The following is a 15,739-nucleotide window of genomic DNA, read 5'->3' as shown; positions in this document are numbered from 1 at the left end:
TTTTTAATGACCAAGGAAGCTGTAAATATAATCTCTGAAATGCCTTATTTGAGAATAGAGATATTAGTCTTTAAAAGATATGCTGGTAATTACCCAACATAGAAGTGCATAAATTTACAAGACAGTAGAGGAGTCTTTACCATTTTTCACACAATTCTATTACCAGGGATTATCTACTGCATGTTAGAGTGGCACATTTCATTGAAACAAAATATATCGTTTAGTAGCAATATCATTTAGAACTTGCTAAAAGCCTTTTCATAAAATATACTTATTAGAAAAACAGACAAGAATTATGCAACACCATCTCCTATCATACAACAAATTAACACAAATTTATTGGGTGGAAAATGTGAAAAGGGACAAAAAAAGGGGTAGTTTTGTACTGATATAAGAGTTCATAAAGTGATAAACTCAGGTCCAAAATCTTCAGCCCACATCAAAGACTTCATGTTCTTATGACTCTAGAAACAGGCCAGCCCCGGCTGCTGGGCTCTTGGAATCATGGAGTGTAGCTACACATAAAGAAGCTCCCTTGTCAAGGACATCACTTCCTCTGTACCTCAGAATGATACTTCTTGGGCATGGGCCTAAGATTCTGTTTTCTCTCCCATCGATGCAGAACAGATTGGTTGGACATGACATCATGTTTTACATCTTGGTCCTGTTGGAAAGAAAACACACCTAACACTGACTGTTCAGAGCTAACTGCAGCAATCTGCACCTGTTTTGCCTCTACACATGTCATCTATTCATGAAGACAAGTGATTCTAATCTAAAAAGTTTGTGACAGGTGGAACTTTGTAAAAAAAAGAAATTAATTGGTTTCCTAGCATTAGTCTAAAGAAACTAAAGATTAAAAGAGAGAGTATCGAGATGATGAGAGAACTTCGGTAATTAGAAATCTGAGAAGCAACAAGTAGAAAATTGCTTAAGACATCCATGTCTTAATCTTACCTTTTCCTGCCACCTGTCTTCCCCAGAAGGCCTCTGCAACCGGTTTTTTGTCAGCTCAAGTTGTAGACCATCAAACCTGTGCTTAAACCAGCGATGAGCTTCTTCCAGATTAGCTGTTATCTGAACATATAAATATCACCATTAAAAGACACAAAGAAAGAGTTACAAGTTTTTTTGTGTATTAGTTGCAGAGATTTTTTACTTAGAAATTAAAAGACCCAAATTCTGACTGCTTGTTCTTCACAACCTATTTGCATAATATACTTAACATCCTATACATGCGAGTAATTTCTGAGTGAGGGGTTAAAGAATGCATGCAGACTTGCTGCTTTTCATGCATTTGTTAATGTTTCTTGGATGTGAAGTAATGTAAGAGAGGACCCAGGAGAAAATTAAGAATGAAGGTAAAAGATGGCTTTGAAAATGAAAAAAATGCACAAAAGACTCTTAAGAATGTAGTAGTTCATGGGCCAGGTGTGGTGGTTCACACCTGGAATCACAGCACTTTGGGAGGCCAAGGCTGGTGGATCACTTGAGTCCAGGAGTTTGAGACCAGCCTGGCAACACAGTGGAACCTCATCTCTACCAAAAATTAGCTGGGCATGGTGCACCACCATGCCCAGCTACTTGGCTACTTGGGAGGCTCAAGTGGGAGGATCATTTGAGCCTGGGAGGCGGAGATTGCAGTGAGCCAAGATTATGCCATGCACTCCAGCCTGGTGACAGAGTGAGACCCTGTCTTGGAAAAAAAAAAAAAAAAAGTATGATTTGAAATACCCCCCAAAAGGCTAATTTAAGTTTAGAATAGAGAAAGAAAATTCACAATTAGTTAAATAGGGTCTACTTTACTTTTTTAGTTATTGATTGATTGAACAAAGAGCATCCACTTTCAGTAGGGTCATGTCAAATAATAATGCATTAAAATCCACACACATGCTGGTCTTTCCTTATATTTAATAGGGAGATTTGGACTTCAGGTTTAATATTTTAGCATTCTGTTATATATCATCTGTCATCTGGACACAGACTCTTAATCTAAAAATCACTTCTTCTCTACAATAGAGACTACACTTAGGAAGTTACTCGTTCTTCCCTGTTGCATTCCTGACAACTACGTTAATGAAGGATTTCACATTGACTTGGGTTGCTTCAGGGTTGCTGTGTTGAAGGAAACGTCTAAGTCTTTATGTCCGTGGGTCTGGCTCACCTGTTCTGATTCCACACTGGCTTCTTTCAGCGTATTCTCTGTTGCCTCTTTACATTTCTTCAGGTGTCTGACAGTTTCTTCCAATTCCTGAAAATGTGATACAAAGATTTTTATAAACTTCCAACATACCATAAGAAACCAAATGCTTCACTGTTATAATAAATGGGCAACTAAATATGAAAATAGGATGGAGTGCCTTCTAACTTCAGGTGCTACTGACATATGAGATAAAAACTGTTATTTTCAGCTTAACCTATAGTCTGCATATCTACATATGTGGATATGATTACACATTTTGATTTTTTATTTATGGAGTCTGTTGAGGACAGTGATTAATATCTCTTTTCAGAACTGGAGAGATACTTCTCATGACAAACCCTACTGAAAGACAAGAGCTCAGTGATCTCTTGAAGTCCCTTTTCAGTGATAAGACGTTATGCTTTTTATTCATTTAGGAATACCTAAGAGTCCTGTAATAGCAACAGGTGTATCTGTGCTAGAAGAAACGAGGTGTACAAAGTTCCTGAAAGGCTATGAAATTCAGTTCAGAAGTCTTACTTAGTAACTGATACTTTGCATATGTAAGCTCTAGCTGTTCTTTAAAAATTGACATTACTTTTATTAAACTGAAAATGGAGAACATTTGCCATATTCAAACTACAGCCTTCTTCCTAGATACTATTATTCTAAGGACTTAGCTAAGATAAACAATTTGTAAATGTGTGTTGTCTTCTGTAGACTCTAGAAAGTCTAGGTGCAAAACTACTGGGCTTTGGCACATGTCATTTGCTGACCATCTTTAAGATGAATCTTAGGAAACCTTTTACCTGGCACCGATTCTCTAGCTCCTGCCTTATTTTCCGCTCTGCTTCTAGGTGCAGCTCTTGCTGTTTATTCCGCACTGAGGCATCATATTGGCTCTTAGCCAACATCTGCATCTCTTTCTGCAGGTTAGTCATTTCACACACAAATCTCTGGATACTCAAAGACTGGAAGGATACAAAGACAGAGACATTTGGTGAACACCCTCCAAGTTTGAGATTTTGCATGAAAGGTAAACACAGAGTATATGGAAATCATCTACCTGTTCATAGTTCTTTTTCTGATATTGATCCTTAATTAGCTCCATTTGCTTCAATTCTTTTTCTATTTGCTAAAAGTAATTGGAAAATAACATAAAAAGATGATCAGTGGAAAAACTGGCTTGCTCTTTTTGCCTATAGGATGACAGAAAGAATCCAATATGAGACCCAAAGTTACCAGTTCCTGCTGAGCTTTCTTTCCCATCTAGCCCACTGATCCCAAAAGAGCAAAGTCCAGTACAATCAACACGGAAGGGACAGATAGGGAGCCGGAATGTGACACTGGCAGCAAATGAGAAATCAAACATTTACACAGCAGTGACTCCACTGAAAAAGTCTCCCCAAAGACAACTGGCTATAATTCCCAGAGAATACATGGGGCTGCTAGGGTTCTAAAACCTGTCTTCCCTAGACACCATTGACTGACTACATCCTCACAGGGTATCCAGGAAGTGAGAAGAGGTTTCCCATACAACCTTCATCCTTTCTATATTCTGAGCATTATTCGCCTTAGCTGACAAGTGGAGCTTAATTTGGGTCTTTTGATTCTTTATTTTCTCCTTGTTACTTTCTAGTATTTTTTCTAGCTCTGCAAGTTTCTGTCGCAGCTCTCGGTTGGTCCGGGACACTTCCACTGATCTGAAGTTAGCTTCATCAAGGGCTTTCTTCAGCTTAAAACACAAGGGAGAAAATTGAAACATTTTTACTTTCCATTAAGAGAAGCTTACTTAGTTTTGTCCTTATATTTTATCATCTTTGGATCTTCTTTTAAAAAGGAGAGTTAGTGAGGCAATAATAATGTCTGATTAAGCAGATTTATGGAGCAATAGACCAAGTGGTTTTCATGATTTTTATCACTAAAGAACAAAATCTTTTTTGGAATAAAGAATGCAAATGTATATTCATCATTTGCATTTTAAGAGCATGACTTTGGAGTCAGGCATCTGTCCAAATATCAGCTTCAGTACTTACTAGCTGAGTGATCTGGAGCAATTAACTACCTTAAGCCTCAGGTTCATCATCTGAACAGTGTGTGTATAGCCTACTTCATAGAATACAAATAACAATTAAATTAAATAAGATCATATAAAGAAAGAAGTAGAGGCTGGCACACACAATTACTCTGTGATTATCATGCTATAAGCTCTTCTCTGTCACTTGCAACCTCATGTCTGAAGAAATGAAAATGAATTATATGGCAGTTTATATAAATATCTGTCAGGTACTGACTGCCATGGCATATATTTTTATAATTTTGCTTTTTGTTCTTAAGGATTTTAATAAACTTCTCTCGTGAAAAAAAAACTGCATAGTAGTTACTTAAATAATTTTACAGCGTTCACGCCTTCTAATATGCCCTTAAACCATTGCCACTTGAAAACTTTAGGAAGAGGAGGTAGTTGAGAAGGGAGAAGACAGGAAGGTGGTATTCTCTATGGATGGTAGCATTTAACACAGCAAAGAGTGAAGTCAAGGATATCTGTACCTTTTCTCTCTATACTAGTTCCTTCTTTTAGATCCTAACTTTACACTACAGTCTTTTATTACTACCCAACTAACTTCCTGTTAGATATTCCAGTTACCTCAATCACAGCCTTTCTAAAACTGGATAAGCACTAACAACTATCATTTACTTTGTACTGAGTATTATGTTCAGGCACTGTGATAATTACTTTACAAATGCTTTCCAATTTAATACTCAAGACAAACTTGACTCAGGCAGTGCTCCCTGAGCCCATTGCTGCTGCCAACTTCTCACTGCTGTCACTCTCTCACTGTTCTCCACTGTCACTGATCCTTCTTCAAATGATTTCATTTTGTAAGTATTCTTTTTTTTTTTTTTTTTTTTTTTGAGACAGAGTCGTGCTCTGGAGCCCAGGCTAGAGTGCAGTGGTGCGATCTCAGCTCACTGCAAGCTCCGCCTCCCAGGTTCATGCCACTCTCCTGCCTCAGCCTCCCGAGTAGCTGGGACTACAGGCACCCACCACTATGCCTGGATAATTTTTTGTATTTTTAGTAGAGACAGGGTTTCACCATGTTAGCCAGGATGGTCTTGATCTCCTGACCTCGTGATCCCCCTGCCTCAGCCTCCCAAAGTGCTGGGATTACAGGCATGAGCCACTGTGCCCGGCTGTAAGTATTCTTAACAATGATCTCCGACTAAAGGTACATTTCTACATTTAGCACACCTTTATGTTCCCTAATTCTTCTATAAAAAGCAGAATTTGCTTTTTATAACATTTGTATTTATATAGTGCTTTGCAATTCACAAAATTGTTTTATATACCATTATTTGAGTTTGATTTTGTGAATGGTCTGTCAATTGCAACTACTAAACGTAACAAATTTGGTGAAACACAGACCAGCCATGCCAACCAAGGAATTATTTTAATCCCTCCCTCTCCAGGATACAACATTTAATGTCTGGTTGATAATTTTTTTCTTTTTCTTTTTTTTTGAGACGGAGTCTCACTCTGTCGCCCAGGCTGGAGTGCAGTGGCACCATCTCGGCTCACTGCAAGCTCTGCCTCCCGGGTTCAAGCGATTTTTGTGCCTCAGCCTCCTGAATAGCTGGGATTACAGGCGCCTGCCACCACACCCAGCTAATTTTTGTATTTTTAGTAGAGATGGAGTTTCACCATGTTGGCCAGGCTGGTCTCAAACTTCTGACCTCAGGTAATCCACCTGCCTCAGCCTCCCAAAGTGCAGGGATTACAGGCATGAGCCGCCTCGCCTGGCCTGTTTGATTTTTTTTCTATTAAAATGGGCTTTCTGACTTAATTGTTTTCTATTTTCAACTGAACTACTTTGCTTGGCCCTAATCATCTAATACTCGAATTAACTGTTATAGTTTTCTCGAGCCTCCATGCCTCCAGTTTCTCTTCATTATCCTCTACTGTCCTCTGCTGTTACATTAACCTTCCTAAACTCATGCTTCTATCATACCACCCCCTGCTCAGAAACCCATAGTGCTCCGTTTCTACCTAAGAGCACACATCCAACATTTCTATAACTAAGGCCATCCATCAGGTGGTCCCATTTAAGCTAACACTCTCTCTCTAACATTTTCCAAAGTCTCTGCTCTAATCAAGAAAGGCTACTTTTCATCTGCTCACATGTCCTGTTCATTTTTGTAAGTAAGCATGGCCTGTGCTGTTTCATAAGGTGTCCAGCCCTGCCATTTCTGCTAGTCTCAATCCTGTACTCTCATTAAGCCTCTCTTCTTCTATCAACCAAATGGCCTAAAATAAACTTTCTCTTACTTTGAATTCCTTCAAAGTTGTACACAGCCTCTGCTACCCAAGAAAGTTCTCTGATGTTTTCCCTATATATCTCATTTCCGGAGTGGAGATCCCAAACAAGGGTCATTTGGCACACACTGGGGCATGGACCATATCTTCTACTGTTTTCTCTGTGCCTCTCAGGAAATGGTAGATGCAGAATAGATGCCAGTTAAATGAACTGAGAAGACAGATGATTTCTCTTCTGTCTATCAAATGGCAGTCTCCTTATTCCTCTATCCCTCTTGCTTATCACTCTCTGATGGAAAATCTCCCATCAAGGCACACCTTTGTCGGGCAGAGAATTATGTCAGAAACTTTTTTCTTGTGTGTTGCTTTACAGAGAGGTCTTAATTACATCTGGCCTGCTGATCAAAGGGGGATGAGAGGAGTCAAAGAACAACTGTAGCCATTCTCTGAAATCCTTGAGCTGCTTATCCTAAGAGGCATTCACCAAAAGAGAAACTTTTCTCATGACTATACCTCAGCCACTTCCCGTTGTGCCACTTTCTTTGTAGTTTCTCTCTCGGTTTGAAACTGCTTTCTTAGAGCTTCTATGCGTTCAGCATGCAATTCTGCTTCCACTTTGGACTCTTCAGTCATCCGGTCTCTGTTTTGAAGAAGAGAGGTGATAAGTCACCTTTAGAAATCATTTTAGGAGGTAAGAAAGTTTTGGAGGGGAGTGTGCAACTCTCCAAAAGGTGTGTGATTTATAAACAAGCAGCCTATCAGTAGCCTGGTGAACCTCACTAATTTGGAGCTCATTAACAGAAGAAAAAAGAAGTGAATTTACCTGTAGCATTAAAAAACATTAATTCTACATAAAGAGATCCAACCAAACGAGTAAAAAACTCACATCGAAGAAAAATACTGGAGGAAGAAGAAACACTTTAAGAGATACTTGCTTTTGTCTTTTCTTTTGCCTTTGTCTTTTCAAACAAAACATTATAGCAAAGTGATTAAGACTATGGGTTTTGGAGTCAGCCTGCTGCTGCCTGGATTGTAATCTCCGCTCTAGTAAGATGATGTCTTTTTGCTAGCAGCTATTTACTACTTAAGTTTTAACTTGTAATAATATTGTTTCCTTATCTTTAAACTGAGAGCCTTAAATTAGATCAGCATTCCTAACTTGAACTCCTTGTTCAAGACCCATGATTAATCTTCTGAGGATGCTGGAATTGCCTGAAATAATATGCAAAATGTGTGTGTGTGAGGGAGTGTAGCTGAGTCCGTAGCTTCTGACTTTTAAAAGGATAAGTGACTCCAAAAAGGACTAAACGGATTTAAACAATTACTAGGCTTATTCCAGCTTTAACATTCTCTGATCTAGCTGATAATGACTTACTGTATGATTACTCTTGAGTTATTGGTTCTTTCTCAAAGGATAGGAGAAGCCTGCCCTGCCATGAAATCACCTTCATTTTCCCTCTCTCTCCTCCTGACCATCTCTTGCTCTTATTTGTATAATATATCCATGTTCTCCACGTGTCTCTAAAAGCACATCTACTAATGGATTCAGTTTCTCCACTTGGCAGCATTCAGTGGCTTGGTCTATACATGAGACTTGCAGGTGGTAACTGCAACTGTCCCTCCAGTACCCCAGGCAGGAATGTATCAATATACTTTGGTACATCACATCTAAAAAGTTGCTGACACCTGTCCTCAAGGCACAGCATAAAGGGATGGAGATCCTGAAGTCATTGGATATAATTATGGTTATTTCTTATATTCCCACACTCCTCCCCATGCCCACACCTCAATCTGAAAAATGAGCAAAAAATTCATGGAGATATAGAAAGAGAAAACCATCATTTTTACAGTGCTGTATTTTGAAAATTATAAGAAACTTTCTAAATTGCCTTTAAATTTATTGTGATTATATCAAAATGATTAAGACTATAAGTTTTGGAGTCAGCCTGCTGCTGCCTGGATCTAATCCCAGCTCTAGTAAGATGATGTCTGACCTTGAGTATGGTACACCACCTTCCCCTGCTTGTTTCCTTATCTTCAAAATGGGAATAACAACAGTAACCACCATCATAGGGTAATAGTTTGTACTAAAGGAAATAATGCATGTGAAGTCCTTAGCATATTACCCAACATATCATGAGCATGTAACAAATGTTAGCTACTGTCATCATCATCATCTAGCTCTAAAAATTTAAATTCTAAATTTTAGATTTTTAAATTAAATTTTGTATTAACTTTAATTTTTAATTTTAAAATTTCTCTCAAGTCTCTACCTCTGCCCTGAGCCCCTACATAGCACTTCAACTTCAACTCTTACTTTCTTCTTCTTTTTACTGAGGTAAGAACATTTAACATGAGATCTACCCTCTTAACAAATTTTAAGCATACAATATACTGTTGTTCATTATAGCCCTATGTTATATAGCAGATCTCTAGAATGTATTCATCTTGCTCTTTTTTCTTCTAAGGAAAATCGCAGACCATCTACCAATCAGCCTCCTTAACAGTCTTCTGAAGACTCACTCAGCTTCTGCTTCCCGCTAGTCCCAAAGGAAGAAATGTCCAACCTCATCTTTAAAGATAACCCTTCCTCTTATACTCTCTCTTTTCTCCAGTTCGATTGAGTTCTTTTCCATAATCTTTAATCATGGTCCAGTTCCTCCCATTCTAAAAACAGGGCAGCAGCAGAATAACTTTTCTTCATGTTATGCTCTTGAGCTGCTATCTGATCTTCTTTATCTTCACCATTGTCCTCTTTGCCTGCCTTTCCTCATCAATCACTTACTCTTTGTGATCTTCTATATCTACAGAAACTGGCCATCTGGAGGATGATTGGTAGATACCTGTTGCAAAACCCAGTGGCTTCCTCTCTGGTCTCTTTGACTCTGCAGCATCTGACTCACTTGTGTTTGACTCTGGTGATACTACATTCTACCAACTCTTTCCTTACCTCCACTAAATGCTCCTTCTCTGGATCCTTCTGTGGCCTCTGTTCAACTTCTACCTGAAATGCAACACATCTCCAAGTTCTGACCTTGGTTCTCTCTCTATACTTTTCCCATGGCAGTCTAACCCACACCAAAGCTTTAGCGTTTATCTTTTTATTTTTTTGAGATGGAGTCTTGCTCTGTCACCCAGGCTGGAGTGCAGTGGCCTGATCTCACTGCAACCTCACTGCAACCTCTGCCTCCCAGGTTCAAGCGATTCTCCTGCCTTAGCCTCCCGAGTAGCTGGGACTACAGGCATACACCACCACACCCAGGTATGTATTTTTAGTAGAGATGGGGTTTCACCATGTTGGCCAGGATGGTCTCGATCTCCTGACCTCGTGATCCGCCCACCTTGGCCTCCCAAAGTACTGGGATTACAGGTGTGAGCCACCGCACCCGGCGTTTAGCTTTTATCTTTATGGAGATGAATTCCAACTAGTAGCCTCTTCTTAGAACTAAGCCTGCATTTCTAAGTCTAAATTAAGTAACTGTACCTGAAACCCAGCAAGTTCTCCAAAACCTGCTCTGTCTTCCTAACCATGTGCACTGATAAATACAGTTCTGCATATGATTTCAGGAGGTTCAAAGATCTCAAGTAAAGAAGGTTGATTCACCTTTGATGAAAATACAAACTATTATCATAAGCAGTGGCATAAGGGTAAATCCTGAAGCAAATGCTGCAAGGAGACCTCTAACTCTCACCTCATCCTTTTCCTGTAAATGACCTAATCATTTTTTTTTTCCTTTGGTTTTGCTTGTTTTAAGCAGTAGTGGCAGGGACTACATTTTATAGTCACCTAAATAATTTTCAGGCTTTGAAACAATTACTAGCTCTCTAAATCATAATTACCTAAACTGACATTGGAGAGTTTTAAATGATGCTGCCAACGACTACATAAACACAATATGGAACAGTCTTAAGGCAGTAACATTTCAGCTGAATATAAAATTTGCAGAGATCATATATCTGGAAAATACCATCTCTGCTTTAGCTTGTACCTCTTTCCTGTATCAACATGCTCACTAATTGAAAATAATAAATATCTAGGCTGAGAACAGTGGCTCATGCCTGTAATCCCAGCACTTTGGGAGGCCAGGCAGGTGGATTGTTTGAGCCCAGGAGTTTTGAGACCACCCTGGGCAACATGGAGAAACCCTATCTCTTAAAAAAAAAAAAAAATTAGCCAGGTGTGGTGATGCATGCCTGTAGTTCCAGCTACTCAGGAGGCTCAGGTGGGAGAACTGCATGAGCCCAGGAAGTAGAGGCTGCAGTGAGCCATGATCACACCACTGAACTCCAGCCTGGGCAACAGGGCGAGACCCAGTCTCAGATAAATAAATAAATAAAAAGGAATAAAGATGTACGTGCACACTGCATTTCCCTTAAGTATAAATTTTCATGGGATGCTATTATTATCTAAATATTTACCGAGGTATAATTTAAGGCAAAACTTTAGTCATTTGACCTGAACTGGATAAGTCTGATCTAAGTAATCTCAGGTCAAAACTGAAAACATTTAATGGCTTAACATCTGCTTAGATGGAGTCATTCCACCCAGGCTGATGTTTTTTCTTGTCTAAATCTGCCTTTAAAGGACATATAAGCTGTTAATAGAAAAGCCTTCATAGAAACATGTGAACGTCCCTTCTAATCAATATTCTTTAAGTTTTGATTTAACCTTTGAGTAAAGCAGCAGCTAGATAGTGGATGAAGGAAGAGCTGAGAAGGAGAGTCAAATGATCATGCTCTAGCCAGCTATTACCTGCTGGTGCTCAGGTATGCCTGGTTCTTAACATGGCTCTGCTGGAAGTACTAGGGCAAAGTAGGAGAAAAGAGTTTAACTGATTTATGCGAATGAGCCATTTATGGGAATGTGACTTACTCCTCCAGAGGTGCTTCCCTAATTTTACTGCAACTATAATGCTCTTACTTGAAGGTTTCCAAATTCTGTCGCTCAAGTTCTTTGCTTTCCAATTGCTCTTGAATGTGATCTAGCTTTGTTTGCAGATGATTATTTGTCTGGAGAGCTTGTTCCAGACTCATAGCAAGTTTCCTGTTGTCTTCTCTAGCTACACCTAGAGCTTTTTGTAGAGATTCAATCTGAAAGAGAGAAGCATGTTTTCAATTCCACTGTAATGGACAGATGCAAGAAGTCCATAACACTGTGTAATCACTCCTCACATTCTATCATCAAGTACCATTGAAACAATAATTAGTTGGAACCAGAAGCAAAGATTCCAGCTGCCTGGAAAATATATATATATATATGCACACACATATATGAATGAGAACTCATTAGAGACATTGCTCAGGAAACACTTAGAAGGCAATGGGAAGGCCATGCTCCATTGGTCACCAGAGAACTTTGGAAAACAGACCCAGCTTAATTTATCCTAATTTTTTAAATTTTAAACTAAATTACCCTTCCTGATCCTATGACCTTCTGGTCTCACTCCCTTGAAGAAAAAAACCTGTCCACTGTTTCTTATAGATTCTTACAGAAAAAAAACCTTATTTATGAAATATTCATGTGTATTTTATATATGTGCATATAGATATGTATGCATGTAAGTAAATATATACCTGTGAGCACATGTGTGTGTAGGTGACTCCTTATTAATAGTGGGATCACTCCAGGTGTTTCTGACAGACTATATTTTCTAAGCCTATTAACTTCTGACATTTTTTGTGCATTAATAAATGAATAAAAATGTAGACCATATAAGACCATATAAGACAAAGAGTTTAGTCATTATTGTGGTACTGGTTTGCCAATAAGTGACTCATTGTAAGACAGGTCAATTTCCCATTTGTAGATATGTCACTGTCCAAAACTCAGACTTGATTGAAAAAAACATTTACCTGATAGTTTCACTTCATTTTCCCAAAAACAGTAATATCCCAATAAAACTAAAAATATCAATGTTATCATTTTTTAAAGCCTGGCTCCAACCTCACTGTTGTGCTGGTCCTCCATGACAAGCATCCTGGCCTGCCACTGGTCCACTTCAGCTTCCAGCTTCTGCACCCTCTGTTGATTGAGATCCCTAAAAATAAAAAGCACAAAAAGAGTGACTACAGAAAAGAATCGTGTAGGAATGATACCATTTGGGAGTTACAGAACACTTTTCTTCTAAGAAGCTCAAATAGCATCATACTTATATATCACTAGTAAATATCACTAGTACAAAATATATTGCCTTTACAAAGATTGACTTGCTGTTGAGATTTTTGCATCTACATATAACAGCCACTTATAAATTTATTGTGAATAGTATTTTTAATACCATTCCCTTGACCTTTTAAAAATGCAAAGGCAATATACTTTCATACTATGTAAAAAAGATAAACAATATGTAATGTAAAAAAAGAGAAAAGAAAACTCACTTGTTCTCTCATAACATAGAGGCAATATGCCCTATTAAACTCAGACCATTTATTCTTTAACCTAAAAGGAAATTTTATTTAATTTTTGAAACATTCTATAAAGGAATTTACTTATAAAACATGGCTAGAAGTGGTTCTCAGAATGATTCACCTAAAATAATTATTAATCTTGAAACAGGATAGTAATAAATGGATAATTAATTCAAACTAAAGTATGTACTTAGTTTCAATTATCTTGACAGTTACTATTCTGTAGAAGCAAGGAAAGAATTAGGTTTACATGGTGCAGAAAGCAAGGGTAAAACAACAGTACAGCTAGTGAATTTCTAGGATATATAGTCTAGAAATTCCTTCACATCACTACACAATAGGGGCATTTTGAATTTTTGGAAATAATATTTATTTCTAATTCTAAATTTTCTCTAACTTAGGAATTCTTTCAACATATCATTTTGCAATTTTTTTTTTTGTAAAGGAAGCTACATAAAGTGACTTCATTTATTGACTTGACACTGCTCCTTAGTACAATCCAGCAATACCAATGACAGGGAAAAAAAACCACAGGTACCTTTCTTTCTTGAGGCCTGCAATCTCTGAATCCCTCCGCCCAAGCTCTATTTGTACTTTCTCCAGAGCACCTTGCATCTTACTGTGAGAAGCCAGCACATTCTCCAACATGATTGTGACTTTGCAGTTGTCTTCTTTAGCTTCTGCCAATTGTCGCTGAAAGTTTCCCACCTAACAGAAAATGAAACAACACAAAGACATTTGATCCTTTCTGGTTACTCTTCTGCTTGTGGATCTCATTACTCCCAGGAAAGAGCATGGAAAGCAGACAAGCAGACACAGTAGGATGCTAGTGGGAATAATTAAAGTATATTTTATTTTTAGGTGGTTTCTTAAGTTATTGTTGAGAAAAAGAAAAGCTGATCCCCAGAAAAGTTGGTGAACTCTGCAGCTTCCCAACTGTGGTCATGTTACAGCATACACATTAACCAGAGAGGCCTGACTCAGCACAACCTGCGTCCAGAGGTGGCGCCAGGCTGGCCTCTCAGCTGTCTTCTGACGGGGTCAGATGAGAATAATACATCTGAAACGCATTAGAATTATCTGAGAAAAAAAGACTGTAAGAGAAAGTGGAAGCTGCTGAAGAATGAGGTAACTCACAGCCCTCCTCAGAGAGACAAAATCCAGCACTTGCTGACAAAGAGAAGTTTGGGATGTGACCTCTATTCCCACTAAGCATACACACACTGTTAAGGAGAAAGCATCATAGAAATCTTACACCACATTAATAAAACATAACTATAAAGGTTATTATTACCAAGATCAGATGTGTTTCAAAAGAAAAAATTAGAACTTTCTCTTTTGAGTATTTAAGACAGAAAGTTAAAAAAAAAACATTGGGAGTTAGATACATATAATGTATTTTTAAGGGAAAAATTTTAAACTATTCTAAAATTATCTTTTCTCCAGAAAAAGAAATCCTCCCCTGATCAATCCTTATTCTAATGGAAGCAAGAAAGCGAAACATATGGCTCATGAAAGATTTCATAAGTGCTTCTTCTCAGTGACAGACGGTCAGAAGGGACTGATTCCTTGCCTTCTTGTTTTCCCTGTCCTCCACAGCCTCGAGGTCTTCTTTCAACTTCTGACTCTCTTTCAGGGCCGCATTACGACACTTCACTGTTCGGGACAGCTCCTCTTTACTTCTTTCAAGAATAGATTTCACCTAAGTAGGAAAAAAGAAACAATAAATAACATTACAAATCAGTGATTAGAATAAGACATAGAAATTTAGAAACCAAATTTTAAATGTTTAAATATATTTATTCACTACTATAAATAGAACCCATCTTTATTAGCTGCTTATTCCTTTAAAGGAAACTACAACAAAAATATCTGTGTGAATAAACATAGACAAATCCAATACATTAATCTCCATGAAAACACAAGAATAGGGAGAATAAGACTATCTATGAAGCTGAGATGTAAAATGGGAGAGAAATTATTATGAGACTAGCTTCCTTTTGAAAATATTAAAAAAAGCACAAATTGATATTATAAAAGCAAAGATGTATAAATACTAAATAGTGTATTTAGAAAGAAATACAAGAAAATTCAAGAAAACAGTGTTACAGCAGAATGAATCCTAATTAGAAGTATAGTATTAGAACCTCATATCCTTGAAACAGTTTTGGTAGAGCCACACCATCAGTTCAGATAATCATACTATTTTAAATATTACCCCTTTTAAACTTTTTACTTCATAATTTTAGGCTCACAGGATGTTGCAAAAATAGTGCAGAGTCCGATGTACCCTTCATCCTGCTTTTTTTTTTTTGAGACTGAATTTCGCTCTGTCATCTAGGCTGGAGTGCAATGGCATGATCTGGGCTCACTGCAACCTCCACCTTCCGGGATCAAGCGATTCTCCTGACTCAGCCTCCCCAAGTAGCTGGAATTACAGGTGTGCACTATCATACCAAGCTAAATTTTGTAGTTAGTAGAGAAGGGGTTTCACCATGTTTGTCAGGCTGGTCTCGAACTCCTAACCTCAGGTGATCTGCTCACCTCGGCCTCCCAAAGTGATGGGGTTACAGGCGCGAGAAACCACGCCCCGCCCCTTTATCCTGCTTCTTTTGCTGACATCTCATATCTCTGTAGTTCAACATCAAAACCAGGAAATTGACATGCATACATTATTGTTAACTTGACTAACTAGATCACATAATTTATTCAATTTTTGCCATTTTTTTCAACCTTCATTCATCTATGTGTGGATGCATGTGTATATGTGCATGCACACAGTTCCATGCAATTTTATCCTATTTACATATTCACATGACTGCCACTGCCACAGT

The 15,739-nt window shown here is 38.1% G+C and overlaps 1 protein-coding gene across 15 annotated transcripts in view, besides 1 other annotated feature; it reads right to left on the bottom strand.

Moving 5' to 3' along the window:
- Window positions 1-303: 303 nt before the first annotated feature.
- Window positions 304-15,739, bottom strand: part of CCDC150 (coiled-coil domain containing 150) — a 93,092-nt gene continuing 77,656 nt past the window's right edge. For 5 of the 15 annotated variants that reach the window (XM_006712438.4, XM_017003861.2, XM_011510987.3 and 2 more), the window contains 11 exons: window positions 14,479-14,607; window positions 13,444-13,613; window positions 12,442-12,535; window positions 11,419-11,588; window positions 7,011-7,137; window positions 3,723-3,917; window positions 3,249-3,317; window positions 2,992-3,153; window positions 2,165-2,251; window positions 958-1,077; window positions 304-664 (listed from right to left, as the gene is read on the bottom strand). In XM_006712438.4, coding sequence (XP_006712501.1) covers window positions 548-664; window positions 958-1,077; window positions 2,165-2,251; window positions 2,992-3,153; window positions 3,249-3,317; window positions 3,723-3,917; window positions 7,011-7,137; window positions 11,419-11,588; window positions 12,442-12,535; window positions 13,444-13,613; window positions 14,479-14,607 — 1,440 coding nt within the window. In that variant the 3' untranslated portion in view covers window positions 304-547. Of the gene's footprint in view, window positions 665-957; window positions 1,078-2,164; window positions 2,252-2,991; window positions 3,154-3,248; window positions 3,318-3,722; window positions 3,918-7,010; window positions 7,138-8,738; window positions 9,502-11,418; window positions 11,589-12,441; window positions 12,536-12,875; window positions 12,937-13,443; window positions 13,614-14,478; window positions 14,608-15,739 lie in introns of those variants that run through there. The other 10 variants (XM_017003863.2, XM_047443975.1, XM_047443976.1 and 7 more) reach the window with 5 other exon arrangements.
- Window positions 7,114-7,163: an enhancer, noted in NCBI's record as "active region_16912". NCBI's record gives its function as "activates an Ori minimal core promoter by ATAC-STARR-seq in GM12878 lymphoblastoid cells {active_cell/tissue: GM12878}" and the evidence as "EXISTENCE:reporter gene assay evidence [ECO:0000049][PMID:35858748]".

Source organism: Homo sapiens, chromosome 2 (genome assembly GCF_000001405.40).
Source record: "Homo sapiens chromosome 2, GRCh38.p14 Primary Assembly".
Lineage (NCBI taxonomy): Eukaryota > Metazoa > Chordata > Mammalia > Primates > Hominidae > Homo > Homo sapiens.
The sequence above is the reverse complement of the archived record's forward strand: the minus strand, read 5'-3'. Positions and strand labels throughout refer to the sequence as shown.